Below are 14,805 nucleotides of genomic sequence, written 5' to 3' on the forward strand. Positions count from 1 at the left end.
CAGAGGGAGTCTGGAACGATTAGTCCATCACCATCAGTCTGAAGTCAAGATAACACCAACCATACCTCCTGACAGGCAATTATGCAAGACAGCCATCAGAACAAAGACAGACAGACCCTGCATTCTCACCACTCCTGCATGTCTCCCACACCAAGTCTCCCTTTAAAAACACTATGGTAACATTTAGAATTTAAGATAGTACTTTAGAACACTAGTTCACCATCTTCTCGGTTTGTTGGCTTTCTGATCAAACCTGCTTTTCCTCCTACCAACCCATATCTCTTGTGTCGGGCTTTCAAGTGGCCGGGCAGCCAAACCTGGGTCCAGTTACATTAGGACATTCAAACAGAGCACTGCCTGGTAGCTTCTAAAATGTGATAGACCTATCTTCTCATCTAAAATATTACTTTATTTTTATGTTTTTCCTTTTATTTTTTTTTTTGAGACAGGGTCTCACTCTGTCACCTGGGCTGGAACACAGTGGTGTGATCACAGCTCATTGCAGCCTCAATCTCCCTGGGCTCAGGTGATCCTCCCACCTCAACCTCCAAAGGAACTAGGACTATAGGCATGTGCCACCACACCTGGCTAATTTTTCTATTTTTTGTAGAGACGTGGTTTCCCCCCATTGCCCAGGCTGGTCTGGAACTGCTGGGCTCGAGCAATCTGCCCACCCCAGCCTACCAAAGTGCTGGGAAAACAAGCCACAGTAGCGGGCTTGTTTTTCTTTTTAAAAGAGGGCTTCAATTAGTATTTTTCTTCACTTCTGGAAAACGTTCTGCCATTATCTCTTGAAACACTGCTTCTCTGCCATTCTCCTTCAGTCTCTTCATTTGGAATGCCTTTTCAACTGATATCAAAATTTCCCAATCTATTTCCATGTTTTTTTGTTTTTGAGACAGGATCTTGCTCTGTTGCCCAGGTTGCAGTATAATGGCACAATCATAGTCACTGAAGCTTTGATCTCAGCTCAAGTGATCCTCCCACCTCAGCCTCTCAAGTAGCTGGGATTACAGGTGCATGCCATGATGCCTAGCTAATTTTTTTGATTTTTAGTAGAGATGAGGTCTCGCTACGCCCACTCTGGTCTCGAATTCCTGAGCTCAAGTGATTCTCCTGCCTTGGCCTCCCAAAGTGCTGGGATTACAGGCATGAGCCACTGCATCCAGCAACCCCCACTCCCCCACCATTTTTTTTTTTTTTTTGAAACAGAGTCTCGCTCTGTTGCCCAGGCTGGAGTGCAGTGGTGCGATCTCGGCTCACCACAACCTCTGCCCCGTGGGTTCAAGCGATTATCCTGCCTCAGCCTCCTGAGTACTGGGATTACAGGCGTGCACCACCACACCTGGCTAATTTTTGTATTTTTAGTAGAGATGGGGTTTCACCATGTTGGCCAGGCTGGTCTTGAACTCCTGACCTCAGCCTCCCAAAGTGCTGAGATTACAGGCGTGAGCCACCATGCCTGGCCCTAAAGTCATTTTTGTATATAGAAAAGTATCAAGTGACTTTGAAGCAAGATAACTTTATTTATCCCACCTTCCCATATCCCAAATTTTCTTAAGTTCTTGGAGAATAAAAACCATGCCTGTGTTCTTCACAGGTATAACTCCAGTGCCTAGACTAGTGTCTCGCACATAGCAAGAATTCAATATATATTTGCAAGACTCACTCCCTCACCTTATTCAGGTTTCTGCCTAATGTCATTTTAGTAGAGAGGGCTTCCCTAACCAACTCATTCAAATTGAAACCCCCCGCTTCCTGAAAACTTTCGCTACCCTGGCCTGCCTGCTTTGTTTCAGCTATCGCCATCTGATACACATATAACTCATTATTTACTGTCTGTATTTCCTTGCTGGAATGTAAGCCCCATTAAGATAGGGACTTTTGTTTTGGCTTACTTTTGCATATCCAGTATCTAGAACAGTGCTTATCATATACCAGGGGTTCCATAAAGATCTGTAGATTAAGTGTAAAAATGAATAAAATTTCAGGTACTCTACGAAGGCTGTAGATTCAAAGATGTTCATATGCTTTATTTATTCATTTCTTTTTCTTTCTTTTCTTTTTTTTTTGAGATGGAGTCTCACTCTGTTGCCCAGGCTGGAGTGCAGTGGTATGATCTCCACTCACCGCAACCTCCACCTCCTGGGTTCAAGTGATTCTCATGCCTCAGCCTCCCGAGTAGCCGTGATTACAGGTGTATGCCACCACGCCCAGGTAAATTTTTGTATTTTTAGTAGAGATGGGGTTTCGCCATGTTGGCTAGACTGGTCTCAAACGCCTGGCCTCAAGTGATGTGCCCACCTCAGCCTTCCAAAGCATTGGGATTACAGGTGTGAGCCACCATGGCTGGCCCTATTTTTCTTTCTTTCTTTTCTTTTTTTTTAGAGATGAGGACTTGCCATGTTGGCCAGGGCAGTCTTGAACTCTTGGCCTCAAGCAATTCTCCCAGCTTGGCCTCCCAAAGTGCTCAGATTACAGATGTGAGCCACCCTGCCCAGCCTATATGCTTTATTTAAAGCCCTAATTGTATCAACAGTGAGGAATGGTAAAGAAAATTATATTAGATGCAGTAAAAAGAGAAAGTTACTAGTAAGCAAGAGATCTGGGTTCACATCCTGACTCATCTACTTACTAGATGTATAAACTCAGGAAAGTTAAATCTGAATTAATTTCCTTAGCAAAATAATGCTTACTTTAAAAAGTTGTTCTAAGGGTTTAAATGCAAAAGTGACTAATAGAGCGCTATGTACTTATAAATGCATATCTGAGGTTAAGAAAGAGTAAGTTAGGCTGGGCGCAGTGGCTTATGCCTATAATCCCAGCACTTTGGGAGACCGAGGTGGGCGGATCACCTGAGCTCAGGAGTTAGAGGTCAGCCTGGGTAACATGGTGAAACTCTGTCTCTACTAAAAATACAAAAATTAGCCGGGTGTGGTGGCGCATGCCTGTAATCCCAGGTACTCAGGAGGCTGAGGGAGGAGAATCTCTTGAACCCAGGAGGCAGAGGGTGCAGTGAGTCAAGATCGCGCCATTGCACTCCAGCCTGGGCAACAAGAGCAAAACTCCACCTCAAAAAAAAAAAAAAAGAGTAAGTTAAACATTAGGACACGAAATATCTATGCTAACATTCCAAATATGAACAAAACTCACAAAGATAAAAAGCAATAACAATTGTTGGGGCGGTGAGAAATAAGTGAAATATTTTTCTTTCACATTTCTTTTATTATTATTTGCTGAGGCTGGAAGAGAAAGGGAGGCTGAATTGTTCACCATCACTCTCCCATATGCTGTGAGTTCTGCAAGGCCAAGGACTTTGTTTTGGTTACGTTTATATTTCCAGCAAATAGGACAGTATTAAGGCATTTACTAGTCAGTACACTTCTGATGGATGAATTACAAGGACAATGAGGTTTTAATGGACAAAGTTTTAAATGGTTCTTAATAGGTCACGCCAGACAGCTTCTAATCTAAATGTAAAGAATGCCTGGACTCCACAGGCCTGTAATTAGCTAGAAGCACCAGAGCCACAAGGAGGGTGGATGATCAAGCACTTACTTGCTGAGCTGGTAATCAGTGCCTTTGATGAACTTGAGCTTCTCCAAGGGCACACCAATGCTCTCCAGCATTGCTTTGATCACATTCTCATAGTAACTGACTCGGAGTTCTAGAAGTTCCCATGGGGCTTTCATGTTATCCAGGTATGCGTGGAGGTCCGCAAACAGAATTGTTACCTGGACAAGAGATAAGGGGCCACCAAAATGTGAATTTGTCCAATTACCTCCAACCTGTCTCCTCCAGCCCCACCCTGTCCTTGTTAAGTCTCTCTTGGGTCTCCCTTGGGTCATTCCCCAAGGGCTTATAGCATTAGTTCTTACCTCACACCCTGCCTTTAAGAAGTCTGCAATCTTTGACATGGGCACAAAGTAAGCCACATGTGGTTTGCCCGTGGTTGCCGTTCCCCAGTAAATTTTAAGTTCCCGCTCCTTCAGTATCTCCTTCAGCTTCTCTTCCCCCAGAACCTCCTATTGTGGAAGCAGAAGAGTTAGTTTAATGTCAGTGCCTCACCTTGCTCATCCTTTACCATGTGACAAGGAAAACAACAGCATGTGTCAGTGGAGATCCAGGCTCAGAGCCATCAAGGAGGTCCAGCCATGTTCTCAGTGCAGATGTGATACCCTACCTTGTTTTAATCTGAATTGACTCTCCCTTAGCTGAGAGAGCCAGACAAACTCCATTTTGGCTCCTTCACTTGTAGCCCCTTGCAGCCTCTTACCCACCCCCCTTCCTCAAGGACTTAACTTGTGCAAGCTGACTCCCAGCACATCAAAGAACGCAAATAACTGATAAGATATTGTGGAAAGCTATAGCCGCAGTTCCCAGGAATTTGCCCAGTTGATATTACCCTAAGCCCCAGCATTTGTGTCTGGTTGATGGTACCCAAAGCCTCCGCGTCTATCACCTTGTGATGGATTTAAAGCCCCTGCGCCCGGAACTGTTTGTTTTCCCGTAACCATTTGTCTTTCTAACTTTTTTGCCTGTTTTACTTCTGTAAGATTGCTTCAGCTAGGCTCCTCCTCCCCTTTCTAAACCAAAGTATAAAAGAAAATCTAGCACCTTCTTCGGGGCGGAGAGAATTTTGAGCACTAGCCATCTCTCGGTCGCTGGCTAATAAAGGACTCCTGAATTCATCTCAGAGTGTGGCGTTTCTCTATAACTCGCTCGGTTACAACGCGGAGAGCCAATGTAAAGTTGGTGCTGCTGCTAGTATCACCCTTGATGTTGGGGAGTGGGGACATGCCCCTAACTGCATCTTTGCCTGCAGCAGCTACCCGTAAACCAAAACTAAACTTTAAGCCCCCCAACTGTCGGAATGGACCCCACATTTTGGCCAACAGGATCCCAAAGAAACTTAAAAAACTAGTTCAGGCCAAGGCAGGAAGGAAGGGTCTGACATGCCTCATTATACCCTTCTCCCTTTGGAGTATATTTATTCATTTTTTTTTTGAGACAAGGTCTTGCTATGCTGCCCTGGCAGGAGTCCGGTTGTGCAAACACAGCTCACTGCAGCCTTGACCTCCAGGCTCAACAATCCTCCCACTTCAGCCTTCCAAGTAGCTTGGGGCTACCAGCACATGTATGCCTGGCTAGTTTTTTCAGTTTAGTAGAGAAGTCTCACTATGTTGCCCAGGCTGGTCTCGAACTCTTGGCCTCAAGTGATCCTCTGGCCTTAGTCTCCCAAAGTGCTGGGATTATAGGCGTGAGCCACCCCACCTGGTGATCCTCTGGAGTTTAGACACAACTGACCAGCATGAACATTAAAACACAGATAGTAAGACTGACAAAACAAACTCTCTGTAGCAATAAGATACCAAATTCCAAACTGATTCTGGTATAGCACCATATGACAGATAGCAGGCCCTAAAGGAAATCAAAGTATTTTACCCCAAAAGATATTTCTTTGACATATTTTGAAATGGCCCTGCAAAACTCTCTTGTGGGGGGAAATTTGCATTCTGTAGAGAAATCTCTTCCCCACACTAAGTCTTTTCTGGAAAGTCTGACACCTTTTAAGGTCAGATAACAGACATTCACCATCAATTCTCTCTGAAGCCAGCTACCTGGAGGCTTCATCTACATGACAAGAACCTTAGCTTCAGCTGGGTGCAGCACCTCACGCCTGTAATCCCAGCACTTTGGGAGGCCAAGGCGGGCAGATCATCAGATCAGGGGTCGAGACCAGCCTGGCCAACATGGTGAAACCATCTCTACTAAAAATACAAAAATTAGCAGGGCATGGTGGCAGGCGCCTGTAATCCCAGCTACTCGGGAGGCTGAGGCAGGAGAATCGCTTGAACCTGGAAGGTGGAGGTTGCAGTGAGCCAATATTGCACCATTGCACTCCAGCCTGGGCAACAAGAACGACACTCTGTCTCCAAAAAAAAAAAAAAAAAAACCTTGGCTTCCACAACCCTCCTTATCTTAACTCAAGCTGACTTCAATTCTTCAGGCAGAGTTTAACTCTTTCAATCAATTGCCAGTCAGGAAATCTTTGAATCCACCTAGAACCTAGAACCCCCACCCCCTTTCTGGGCAAACCAATGTATACCTTACTTGTATTGATTTATGTTTTTGCCTGTAACTTCTGTCTCCCCAAAATGTATAAAACGAAGCTGTAACCCAACCACCTTGGACGCATGTTCTCAGAACTTCCTGAGGCTGTGTCAGGTGCCATGGTCTTTAACCTTAGCAAAATAAACCTCTAAATTAATTGAGACTTGTCTCAGATACTTTTTGTTTTTTCAAGATGGAGTCTCACTCTGTTGCCCAGGCTGGAGCACAGTTCTGTGATCTCCGCTTACTGCAACCTCCGCCTCCAGGGTTCAAGTGATTCTCCTGCCTCAGCTTCCAGAGTAGCTGAGATTACAGGCGTCCAACACCATACTCAGCTAATTGTTTGTATTTTTAGTAGAGATGGGGTTTCACCATGTTGGTCAGGTTGGTCTCAAACTCCTGACCTCAAATGATCCACCTGCCTCAGCCTCCCAAAGGGCTGGGATTATAGGTGTGGGCCACCACACCTGGCCTCAGATACTTTTTGGTTTACATGCCTCTAACTCACTCTCCTTCCTTTCATAGCCAATTTCTTGTAACAGTTGTCTCTTCTTTTGGGCTCCATTTCCTAATCTCCCATTCCAATTTTAATTCCATACTACATCATACTACTAAATTCCATATCACATCACACATAATCTTGCTAAGATCACAGAAGACCTTCACGTTGCTAAATTCAGTGAGTATTTTTTAGTCCTCACTCCCTCCCAGAAGCATTCTCCTCTTTTGGTCTCCTTTATTTTATTCTTAGTTTTCCTCGTCTCTGCCTGCTTAGCTTTCTTTGCAACTGTTCTTATTTTTCCTAGTCATTAAATATTAGCAATCTTTGGGGCTCTGGTCTTTTGTCTTCTTACTCTACAGTCTCCTTAACTGATCCCCTTCAGTTGCTTCAATTACTACTATGAGCCAGTAACTCCCAAATCTCCTGCTTACGCCCATACACAGAACCGTGTTCTTGTTATCAACCCAATCATTCAAACTCAACGTGTTCAAAATAAAACTCATGCTCTTGACTTCTTACTTCACTCCCCAACCATCTTTTTCACTGATAGTTTCACTCCTACTACAGTAAATGGTACCATCATTTAGAGTTGTTCAAGGACTCCAAAACTGCTCTTCAACCCTCCTATTTCTCTCTGCCTCTACATCACCACCCAAATCCAGGCCCTATCAGATCACACCAGGATTACCGTAACATTCTCCTAACAGGTCTCCCAAATCTACTCTTACTCCCTCCAATCCAAGTTCTTTTTTATTTTTTTGAGACGGAGTCTTGCTCTGTCACCCAAGCTGGAGTGCAGTGATGCAATCCTGAGTCACTGCAACCTCTGCTCCCGGGTTCAAACGATTCTCCTGCTTCAGTCTCCCAAATAGCTGGAATTACAGGTGCCCGCCACCAGGCCAGAGAAATTTTTGTATTTTTAGTAGAGATGGGGTTTCACTATGTTGGCCAGGCTGGTCTTGAACTCCCAACCTCAAGTGATCTGCCCGTGTGGGCCTCCCAAAGTGTTGGGATTACCGGCATGAGCCACTGCGCTTGGCCCCTCCAATCCATGTTCTAAAAGGTAGCCAGAGACAGTCTTTTAAAACTCAAAAACTTCTTTAAAACTCATTTTCCTTTTTACAAACCTTTAATGATTTCTTTTTGTCCTATGACAGTATTGGAAAAATTCTAACAGGCCAGTGTACCCCGATAAGAGGTTGTAGTGTTTCCTCAAGTTACGGTTTTGGGAGGCTGTCAGAAACCATGATAGACTGCTGGTTTGAATCATGTTTTACCAGGACTTGTTAAACTCCTGTGCTCCAAGTCTTTTGGCAGCTGATCCCGCATGCTCAAGAGCACCCCTGACAACGTGGACACTTGGAGGGTTCTCACCATCCAAGAAGATGTCACATTACTTAGCCTTTAAAACCTGAGTGAGGCCGGGCACTGTGGCTCACTCTGTAATCCCAGCACTTTGGGACGCCGAATTTGGCGGATAACTTGAGGTCAGGAATTTGAGACCAGCCTGGCCAGCATGGTGAAACCCCGTCTCTACTAAAAATACAAAAATTAGCCCGGCGTGGTGGTGCACGTCTGTAATCCCAGCTACTCAGGAGGCTGAGGCAGGAGAATCACTTGAGCCCAGGAGGCAGAGGTTGCAGTGAGCTGAGATTGTGCCATTGCACTCCAGCCTGGCCGACAAGAGATAAACTCCGTTCCAGAAAAAAAATCCCCAAAACAAAAAACCCAATTGAGTCAATTCTAATAGTTTTGTGTATTTTTAGTCTCCAACCAGCACTATTTTATGGAGAGAGAATAGGAAACAAAGAATCTAGCTAGGGGAAGCGTGCAAAAACCTTTGGTTAAGACTAAGTTGTAAATGGAATAACCCAAATGTCCATCAACTGATGAACGGATAAACAAAATGTATATCCATACAACAGAGTATCATTCAACCATAAAAAGGAATGACGTTCTGCTAGGTGCAAATACATGCATGAACTTTGAAAACATTATGCTAAGTGCAAAAAGTCAGACACAACAAACATATTGTATGATTCTAGTTACAGGAAATGCCCAGAATACGCAAATACCTGGAGACAGAGAGTAGATTAGTGTTTCTCTAAGGCTAGGAGTAGTGGGTAATAGGTAGCGTCTGCTAACGGGTGCAAGTTTTATTAGATAGTGTGATGGTTGTGGCCGGGAGCCGTGGCTCACGCCTGTAATCCCAGCACTCTGGGAGGCCAAGGAGGGTGGATCACGAGGTCAGGAGATCGAGACCACCCTGGCTAACACGGTGAAACCCCGTCTCTACTAAAAATACAAAAAATTAGCCGGGCGTGGGGGCGGTCACCTGTAGTCCCAGCTACTCGGGAGGCTGAGGCAGGAGAATGGCGTGAACCTGGGAGGCGGAGGTTGCAATGAGCCGAGATTGGGCCACTGCACTCCAGCCTGGGCGACAGAGCGAGACTCCGCCTCAAAAAAAAAAAAAAAAAAAAAGATAGTGTGATGGTTGCACAACCTTGTGAACATACTAAAACCCACTGAATTGTGCACTTTAAAAGGGTGAATTTTATAGTATGTGAAGTACATCTCTAAAAAGAAAAAACAGAACAGGCTGTGTGGCCCAACTGATTTATCACTACTCTTAGAAGGAAGCCCAATTTAAAATTGAACAGAATAAGGCCTGCAAGGCTCCCGTGACTTGGTCCCTGCCTACCTCTCTTAAACAAATAAATAAAATGTATACTATGTAGAAACAATAACAAAAAAAAGGCAGAGCAAGGTATGGGGCAGTTCTGGTGCCAGAGGGTTTGTTATTTAAATAAAGTGGTCGGAAATCATGCGTCGCTGATAAGGTGACAACAGTCAGAAGCCTGAAAAAGTTAAGGGGTAAGCAATATAAATATTTAAGTGCTTCCTCATAACTTTGCTCACTCCACTCCAGCTAAATTTGCCACAATTTCTGTTTCCTCCATCTGAAATGCTCTCCCTCCTTATTCTTCCATTCTTCCTCTGGTTCACTTCTACTCCTGTAGTTCTTGGTAACAAACGGAACATTTGTGGAGTGAGGGGGGGGGATCCATTTCCTTCAAGGCGCAGTTTGGAGGTCACTTCCTCAGGGAAGCCTTCCCTTCTCTCTTTCCCTTTAAAGCTCCCAGTATAGCATCTTCCAGTACTTACTTGAACCGTAATGGGTCATTTTTAACGTCTGATCCCCTTCAGACAAGCTCTGGCAGGCCCTTGACGTATCCCCAGCGACTAAGCACCACGTCTGGCACTTAATAGGGGGGTGGAATGGGAGTCCTGGATTCAAAGTTTGGCTCCAACACAAGACAACTGGACGCAAGAGGTGAGCCCACTGTGATTTCTGGGGAACCCAGGGAAGGGCTGCTTGATTGACTGACCGACCAGCAGTGAGATCTACAGGCTCTCTCAGAGCTGCGCCAGCGCCGAGTCCCCGGCCCCACATACTTAGAACCCCGTAATGGGGCTCAAAATCACTGAACCTCGGGCTCCTAATCCCCAACGGCGCATTTCCAACCCCCAGGCCTGACCTGCAGGTTCCGGGTGATAAGGTGCAGTTTCTCTTCAGGGCTGGGAGCGTCCCCCATGGCTCCGCTACCCCTGCTTCCCCCGCTCAGCCCGGCACCAGAGCCCCTTCCTGGGTCACCGTCGCCGCCGCGTGCCGGGAACTGTCACGCGAGTCCAGCCAGGTTGCATCAGCTGGGCTCGGCGCTCCGCTTACTCGGCCTGGACCCCTCCGGCAGCGGCCGGAAAAAGTGAGGAGCAGCAGAGAGTCGAGCAGGTCGATGAGACGGGAAAAGGTGGAGCCAGTGGGCACGGTGGGCGGTGCGGAGGGCGGGGCTGAGGCGCCTGAGCGGGGCACAACCCTCCTAGAGGCGGGACGGTTTCCTGCCAATCACTGCTGGTTTGCCCTCCCCCTGGTGTTGGCCCGGCTGACTCGGGGTAGGGGAGGTCGGGGAGGGGGCGATAAAATGGCGCAGGGGGCGGAGTGAGGCGCAGTCGTTCGCCCAGGCTTTGGCCCGGCTTCCGGAGGTGAAGAGCGGGAGGGACGAGGGGGTCGGCGTTACCCGGCTTGGAGGGGGATGGGGGCGCCTGTTGCTTCTCCAGGGGGTTGCGCACGCCGTCCGCCCCTTGGAGGGATTGGGAGGCCCACGCCCTGCTGCGAGAAGGGCGCGTTCTAGCTCCTGAGGTGATGGCGAGGGAATGTCCCTGCCCCTCCACCTCCAAGTCGGCGGGCGACAGATGCCCCTCACCCCGCTGAGGAAAAGGGAAGCTCCCTGGTCGTCTTGAGAGTCGGGGAGCGCCGTCTGCAGTCCCCTGCCCAGTGGGGGTGGGGGCCGCCTCTGTCCCGGCCGGCTCGGCGGGAGGCTGTTGCTGGCGGGAAGATAGCCGCGGGCTTTTCTGCCGCGTCTCGCGGGTGGGGGCAGGAAGAGGACGACCCATTCCCTGGGGAGATCTGAGGACGGTGGTCCCCGGGAGAGGAGCGCACAGCACAGGCCTGCTGAGGGGCGGGTTTGCCCCTACTGGGGGAGGGGCGGGGAGAAAACTCTCGCTTCTCCCGCTTTCCGCCGGGAGGCGGGAATTCGCGGTGTCCCCGGGGGAGGGAGACGCAAAGGCCCTTCCTGGAAGGCGACACCGTCCCGGGCCGTTGCATTTGTGAGAGAGAGCCAAGGCAGTATCCTCCAAAGGTTGGGCCTGGGCCACCCTTTCTCCGGCTCCTCAAGGGCTGGAGGCGGCGTCACCAGTTACTTCCAGGGCAAGAGGGAAAGCAGTTATTACCTCAGTGGGCCCTGGAAAGGTCCTAGAAGTGGTTGAATTGCCCACGGCCTGCCCTAACCTGATCTCCGGTGTTTTGTGTATTTATTAGGGACTCCAAGCTCTACCAGACCTGCCTGAAGTGTTTTAAAGCACATTTTCTTTTTGAAAAGAAACCTGTTGCTGCAGCTTAGCGCATCTGTTCTCTGTGTCCATGTGGGAGGAGAATCCTGGCACCCTCATCTAGTGAAATGTTACCTAAAGCAAAGATTTGCAGCCCTGGGTTGTTTTTTCCGTCCTGCAGTGTTTTTAGTTACTTCGAAGGAATTTGCAAAACTGTTACAGATAATTTCAGTTCTTTTTGATTTTTTGTAAATGTTGTGCCTATTTTTTATGGAGTGATAAAGCCTGCTGAGTGCGTTTCGTGCTGTGTGCTTCACATGTATTGCATTTGGGAAAGGTTGGAAATCAAAGGCCAGGGGGAAGTCTTGTCCACTGGAAATAATCTCTGCTCTTGGCTGTACCTGTCAGACCCTGCTTGGTAATGGTCTTGACTTTAGAGCTTGAAAGAGGATGTGGGCTTGCATCTGGTGTTGCAGTTTTAGTGGCCTCAATAAAGTAAGGCTTTGTGCTCGAAGGCAGTAGGTTTTCTGAGGTGAGATAAAAATAGAAAGGGAACCAGTTTCTGAGGTTGCAACCAGGAGGTTCGAGAACAGAGAGGGGGTGGTAAACTGAAGTGTGAAGAAGGGGGTGGACAGGTGAGAGAGATGTGGAAGGACAGAATGGGGTCACAGAAAGGATGGGGTGTAGAGGAACTAAGAAATAGAATTAGAAGATCGGAAAAATATTCTTCCCTTAAAAATGAAGGGATATGGCCAGACATGGTGGCTCACGCCTGTAATCCCAGCACTTGGGGAGGCCGAGGCCGGAGGATTGCTTGAGGCCAGGAGTTCAAGACTAGACTGGCCAACATAGCAAAACCCCATCTCTACTGTAAATACAAAAATTAGCCTAGCATGGTGGACGCCTGTAATCCCAGCTACTGGGAGGCTGTGGCATGAGAATCGCTTGAAACTGGGAGGCAGAGGTTGCAGTGAGCCCAGATCACGCCACTGCATTTCAGCCTGGGTGATTGAGTGAGACCCTGTCTCAAAAATAAAAATAAAATAAAAAAATAAAGGGGTCCCCATATTTTAAGTGGAGGTTACCAGACAAGTGCTAAGAAAGGTGGTAGATGGTAGACAGAGAAGTAAGCAAGCCTTCTTTTGACAGAGAAGTAATAAGTAAGGCTGTCTTTGGAATTTCACTGAAGAACTTCAGTTTTATATGAGGATTTCCCCCCTTGCACATTCATTAAATACCATGTTTTTTTAGTATAGAACTTTTAGGTTTAGAGTACTTTCATAAACATCCTATTTTTTCTCATGATAATCTGTGTTTGAAGTTAACAGTATTTACCCCCTTTTTAGATGCATGTTCTCATCTGTATTGAAGTTCAGAGACTTGAAGTGAATTGCTGAGGTCCAGTACCTCTATAAAGGATAGTTCAGTGAACATTAATTTGCATAATTTGCCGGATATTTCAGATGTCTACCTAGTCTGGTCTTCAGTGACAATATGGTTGAGTGCTGGATTAAACTAGATAAGAGTAGAGTATATTAGATAATTTCAAGCAGGGTCTAGGGGAAATTCCCTACCAGTTTAGCACTCTTTTTTCCTACCGTTCCTATGCTTTTTTTTTTTTTTTTTTTTGAGATGGAGTCTCGCTCTGTCACCCAGGCTGGAGTGCAGTGGTGCGATCTCAGTTCACTGCAACCTCCGCTTCCTGGGTTCCAGCGATTCTCCTGCTTCAGCCTCCCAAGTAGCTGGGATTACAGGCATGCACCACACACCCGGCTAATCTTTGTATTTTTAGTAGAGACAGGGTTTCACCATGTTGGCCAGGCTGGTCTTGAACTCCTGACCTCAGGTGATCCACCCACCTCAGCCTCCCAAAGTGCTGGGATTACAGGAATCAGCCTCTGCGCCTGGCCCTATGCTTCTCTTAAGACTCCAGGGATCGGGGCAATGATGGTGGTGGGGTGAAATAATAACTATGGCCACCAGTTATTTGTCTCTTATGCCATGCCTCTAGTGTGCCACATTTATGTTCACGATCTCATTTAATTCTTGCCACAACCCTATCAGGTAGGTACTGTGATATATGAGGACATTTGATACTTCACAGAGTATAATCATTGTATCTTTCCCATTGACTTCATAATTTTAAGATGTTTTTATTATTTCAAGCATATAAAAAAGTATAGTGGCTGGGTATGGTGGCTCAATGCCTGTAATCCCAGCACTTTGGAAAACCAATGCAGAAGGATCGCTTGACTCCAGGAGTTCAATACCAGCCTGGGCAACATAATGAGACTATGTCTCTACAAAAAATAAAAATAAAAAATTAGCTGTGTATGGTGGTGTGTACCTGTAGTCCCAGCAGCCCTGGGGTTCAAGGCTGCAGTGAGCTATGATCACGCCACTGTTTTCTGCCTGGGCAACAAACCTGAGACCCTGTCTCAAAAAAATAACAATAATTTAACAGTGTAAAAGTAACATAATGAACATTATTATACCTAGCATGCTGCTTTGTCTTAGGTTGCCATATTTGTTTCAGGTCTCTTCTTGCTATTTTTTTTTCCTTATTTATTTATTGTCATGTAGCCTAAGATGAGATATTGTTTTCTTAAGAAATAAAACATTGGCCGGGCGCGGTGGTTCACACCTGTAATCCCAGCACTTTGGGAGGCTGAGGCGGACGGATCACGAGGTCAGGAGATCAAGACCATCCTGAATTCCGGCCTTTCATGCATATTTTAATAATTTTGTGATATATGTATCCATACATAATACGTGGTATTGTGGCTTTTTTGTTGTTGTTTTTTGAGACTGACTCTTGCTCTGTCACCCAGGCTGGAGTGCAGTGGCGCGGTCTGGGCTCACTGCAACCTCTGCCTCCTGGGTTCAAACAGTTCCCCTGCCTCAGCCTCTCGAATAGCTGGGGTTATAGGTGCGCGCCACCAAGCCCAGCTAATTTTTGTACTTTTAGTAGAGTTGGGGTTTCACCAGGTTGGTCCAGATGGTCTCGAACTCCTGACCTCGTGATCCGCCCTCCTCGGCCTCCCAAAGTGCTAGGATTACAGGCGTGAGCCACTGCGCCTGGCCTGTTTCTTTTTTCTTTCTTTCTTTTTTTTTTTTTTGATACAGTTTTACTCTGTCACCCAGGCTGGAGTGTAGTGGTGCGATCTCTGCCCACTGCAACCTCCGCCTCCTGGGTTTCAGCGAGTCTCCTGCCTCAGACTTCTGAATAGCTGGGGCTACAGGCCCGCGTCACCATGCCCAGCTAAATTTTCTTTGTAGTTTTAGTAGAAATGGGGTTCCGC

The 14,805-nt window shown here is 46.8% G+C and overlaps 2 protein-coding genes across 18 annotated transcripts in view, besides 10 other annotated features; one reads left to right on the forward strand and one right to left on the reverse strand.

Moving 5' to 3' along the window:
* The window catches only part of YARS1 (tyrosyl-tRNA synthetase 1), a 42,120-nt gene extending 31,794 nt beyond the window's left edge, over window positions 1-10,326 (reverse strand). Inside the window, exons 1-3 of one of the 2 annotated variants that reach the window (NM_003680.4) lie at window positions 10,156-10,326; window positions 3,879-4,025; window positions 3,559-3,734 (exon numbers count right to left, since the gene is read on the reverse strand). In NM_003680.4, coding sequence (NP_003671.1) covers window positions 3,559-3,734; window positions 3,879-4,025; window positions 10,156-10,212 — 380 coding nt within the window. In that variant the 5' untranslated portion in view covers window positions 10,213-10,326. The remainder of the gene's footprint in view (window positions 1-3,558; window positions 3,735-3,878; window positions 4,026-10,155) is intronic. The other variant, XM_011542347.3, reaches the window with a different exon arrangement.
* Window positions 3,301-3,937: an enhancer, noted in NCBI's record as "NANOG-H3K27ac-H3K4me1 hESC enhancer chr1:33275934-33276570 (GRCh37/hg19 assembly coordinates)". NCBI's record gives its function as "activates a minimal SCP1, AML or CMV promoter by ChIP-STARR-seq in naive H9 embryonic stem cells {active_cell/tissue: H9 hESC(naive)}" and the evidence as "EXISTENCE:reporter gene assay evidence [ECO:0000049][PMID:30033119]".
* Window positions 3,938-4,573: an enhancer, noted in NCBI's record as "H3K27ac-H3K4me1 hESC enhancer chr1:33276571-33277206 (GRCh37/hg19 assembly coordinates)". NCBI's record gives its function as "activates a minimal SCP1, AML or CMV promoter by ChIP-STARR-seq in primed H9 embryonic stem cells {active_cell/tissue: H9 hESC(primed)}" and the evidence as "EXISTENCE:reporter gene assay evidence [ECO:0000049][PMID:30033119]".
* Window positions 9,438-9,939: an enhancer, noted in NCBI's record as "NANOG-H3K27ac-H3K4me1 hESC enhancer chr1:33282071-33282572 (GRCh37/hg19 assembly coordinates)". NCBI's record gives its function as "activates a minimal SCP1, AML or CMV promoter by ChIP-STARR-seq in primed H9 embryonic stem cells {active_cell/tissue: H9 hESC(primed)}" and the evidence as "EXISTENCE:reporter gene assay evidence [ECO:0000049][PMID:30033119]".
* S100PBP (S100P binding protein) overlaps window positions 9,530-14,805 on the forward strand; it is a 42,318-nt gene continuing 37,042 nt past the window's right edge. For 6 of the 16 annotated variants that reach the window (XM_017002098.3, NM_022753.4, XM_011541963.3 and 3 more), the window contains exon 1: window positions 10,621-10,657. The gene's annotated coding sequence lies outside the window, so the exon portion shown is untranslated. Of the gene's footprint in view, window positions 9,951-10,409; window positions 10,568-10,620; window positions 10,815-11,148; window positions 11,314-11,492; window positions 13,568-14,805 lie in introns of those variants that run through there. The other 10 variants (XM_047428036.1, NM_001256121.2, XM_011541961.3 and 7 more) reach the window with 7 other exon arrangements.
* Window positions 9,940-10,439: an enhancer, noted in NCBI's record as "NANOG-H3K27ac-H3K4me1 hESC enhancer chr1:33282573-33283072 (GRCh37/hg19 assembly coordinates)". NCBI's record gives its function as "activates a minimal SCP1, AML or CMV promoter by ChIP-STARR-seq in primed H9 embryonic stem cells {active_cell/tissue: H9 hESC(primed)}" and the evidence as "EXISTENCE:reporter gene assay evidence [ECO:0000049][PMID:30033119]".
* Window positions 9,940-10,497: a biological region, named in NCBI's record as "NANOG-H3K27ac-H3K4me1 hESC enhancer GRCh37_chr1:33282573-33283072".
* Window positions 10,188-10,497: an enhancer, noted in NCBI's record as "active region_698". NCBI's record gives its function as "activates an Ori minimal core promoter by ATAC-STARR-seq in GM12878 lymphoblastoid cells {active_cell/tissue: GM12878}" and the evidence as "EXISTENCE:reporter gene assay evidence [ECO:0000049][PMID:35858748]".
* Window positions 10,865-11,034: an enhancer, noted in NCBI's record as "experimental_6822 CRE fragment used in MPRA reporter constructs". NCBI's record gives its function as "activates a minimal promoter by MPRAs in K562 erythroleukemia cells, with activity observed for both the introgressed and non-introgressed 1:33283583 variant alleles {active_cell/tissue: K562}" and the evidence as "EXISTENCE:reporter gene assay evidence [ECO:0000049][PMID:34662402]".
* Window positions 11,468-11,577: an enhancer, noted in NCBI's record as "active region_699". NCBI's record gives its function as "activates an Ori minimal core promoter by ATAC-STARR-seq in GM12878 lymphoblastoid cells {active_cell/tissue: GM12878}" and the evidence as "EXISTENCE:reporter gene assay evidence [ECO:0000049][PMID:35858748]".
* Window positions 12,038-12,187: an enhancer, noted in NCBI's record as "active region_700". NCBI's record gives its function as "activates an Ori minimal core promoter by ATAC-STARR-seq in GM12878 lymphoblastoid cells {active_cell/tissue: GM12878}" and the evidence as "EXISTENCE:reporter gene assay evidence [ECO:0000049][PMID:35858748]".
* Window positions 12,198-12,327: an enhancer, noted in NCBI's record as "active region_701". NCBI's record gives its function as "activates an Ori minimal core promoter by ATAC-STARR-seq in GM12878 lymphoblastoid cells {active_cell/tissue: GM12878}" and the evidence as "EXISTENCE:reporter gene assay evidence [ECO:0000049][PMID:35858748]".

The sequence above is a fragment of the Homo sapiens genome, chromosome 1, assembly GCF_000001405.40.
Source record: "Homo sapiens chromosome 1, GRCh38.p14 Primary Assembly".
NCBI lineage: Eukaryota > Metazoa > Chordata > Mammalia > Primates > Hominidae > Homo > Homo sapiens.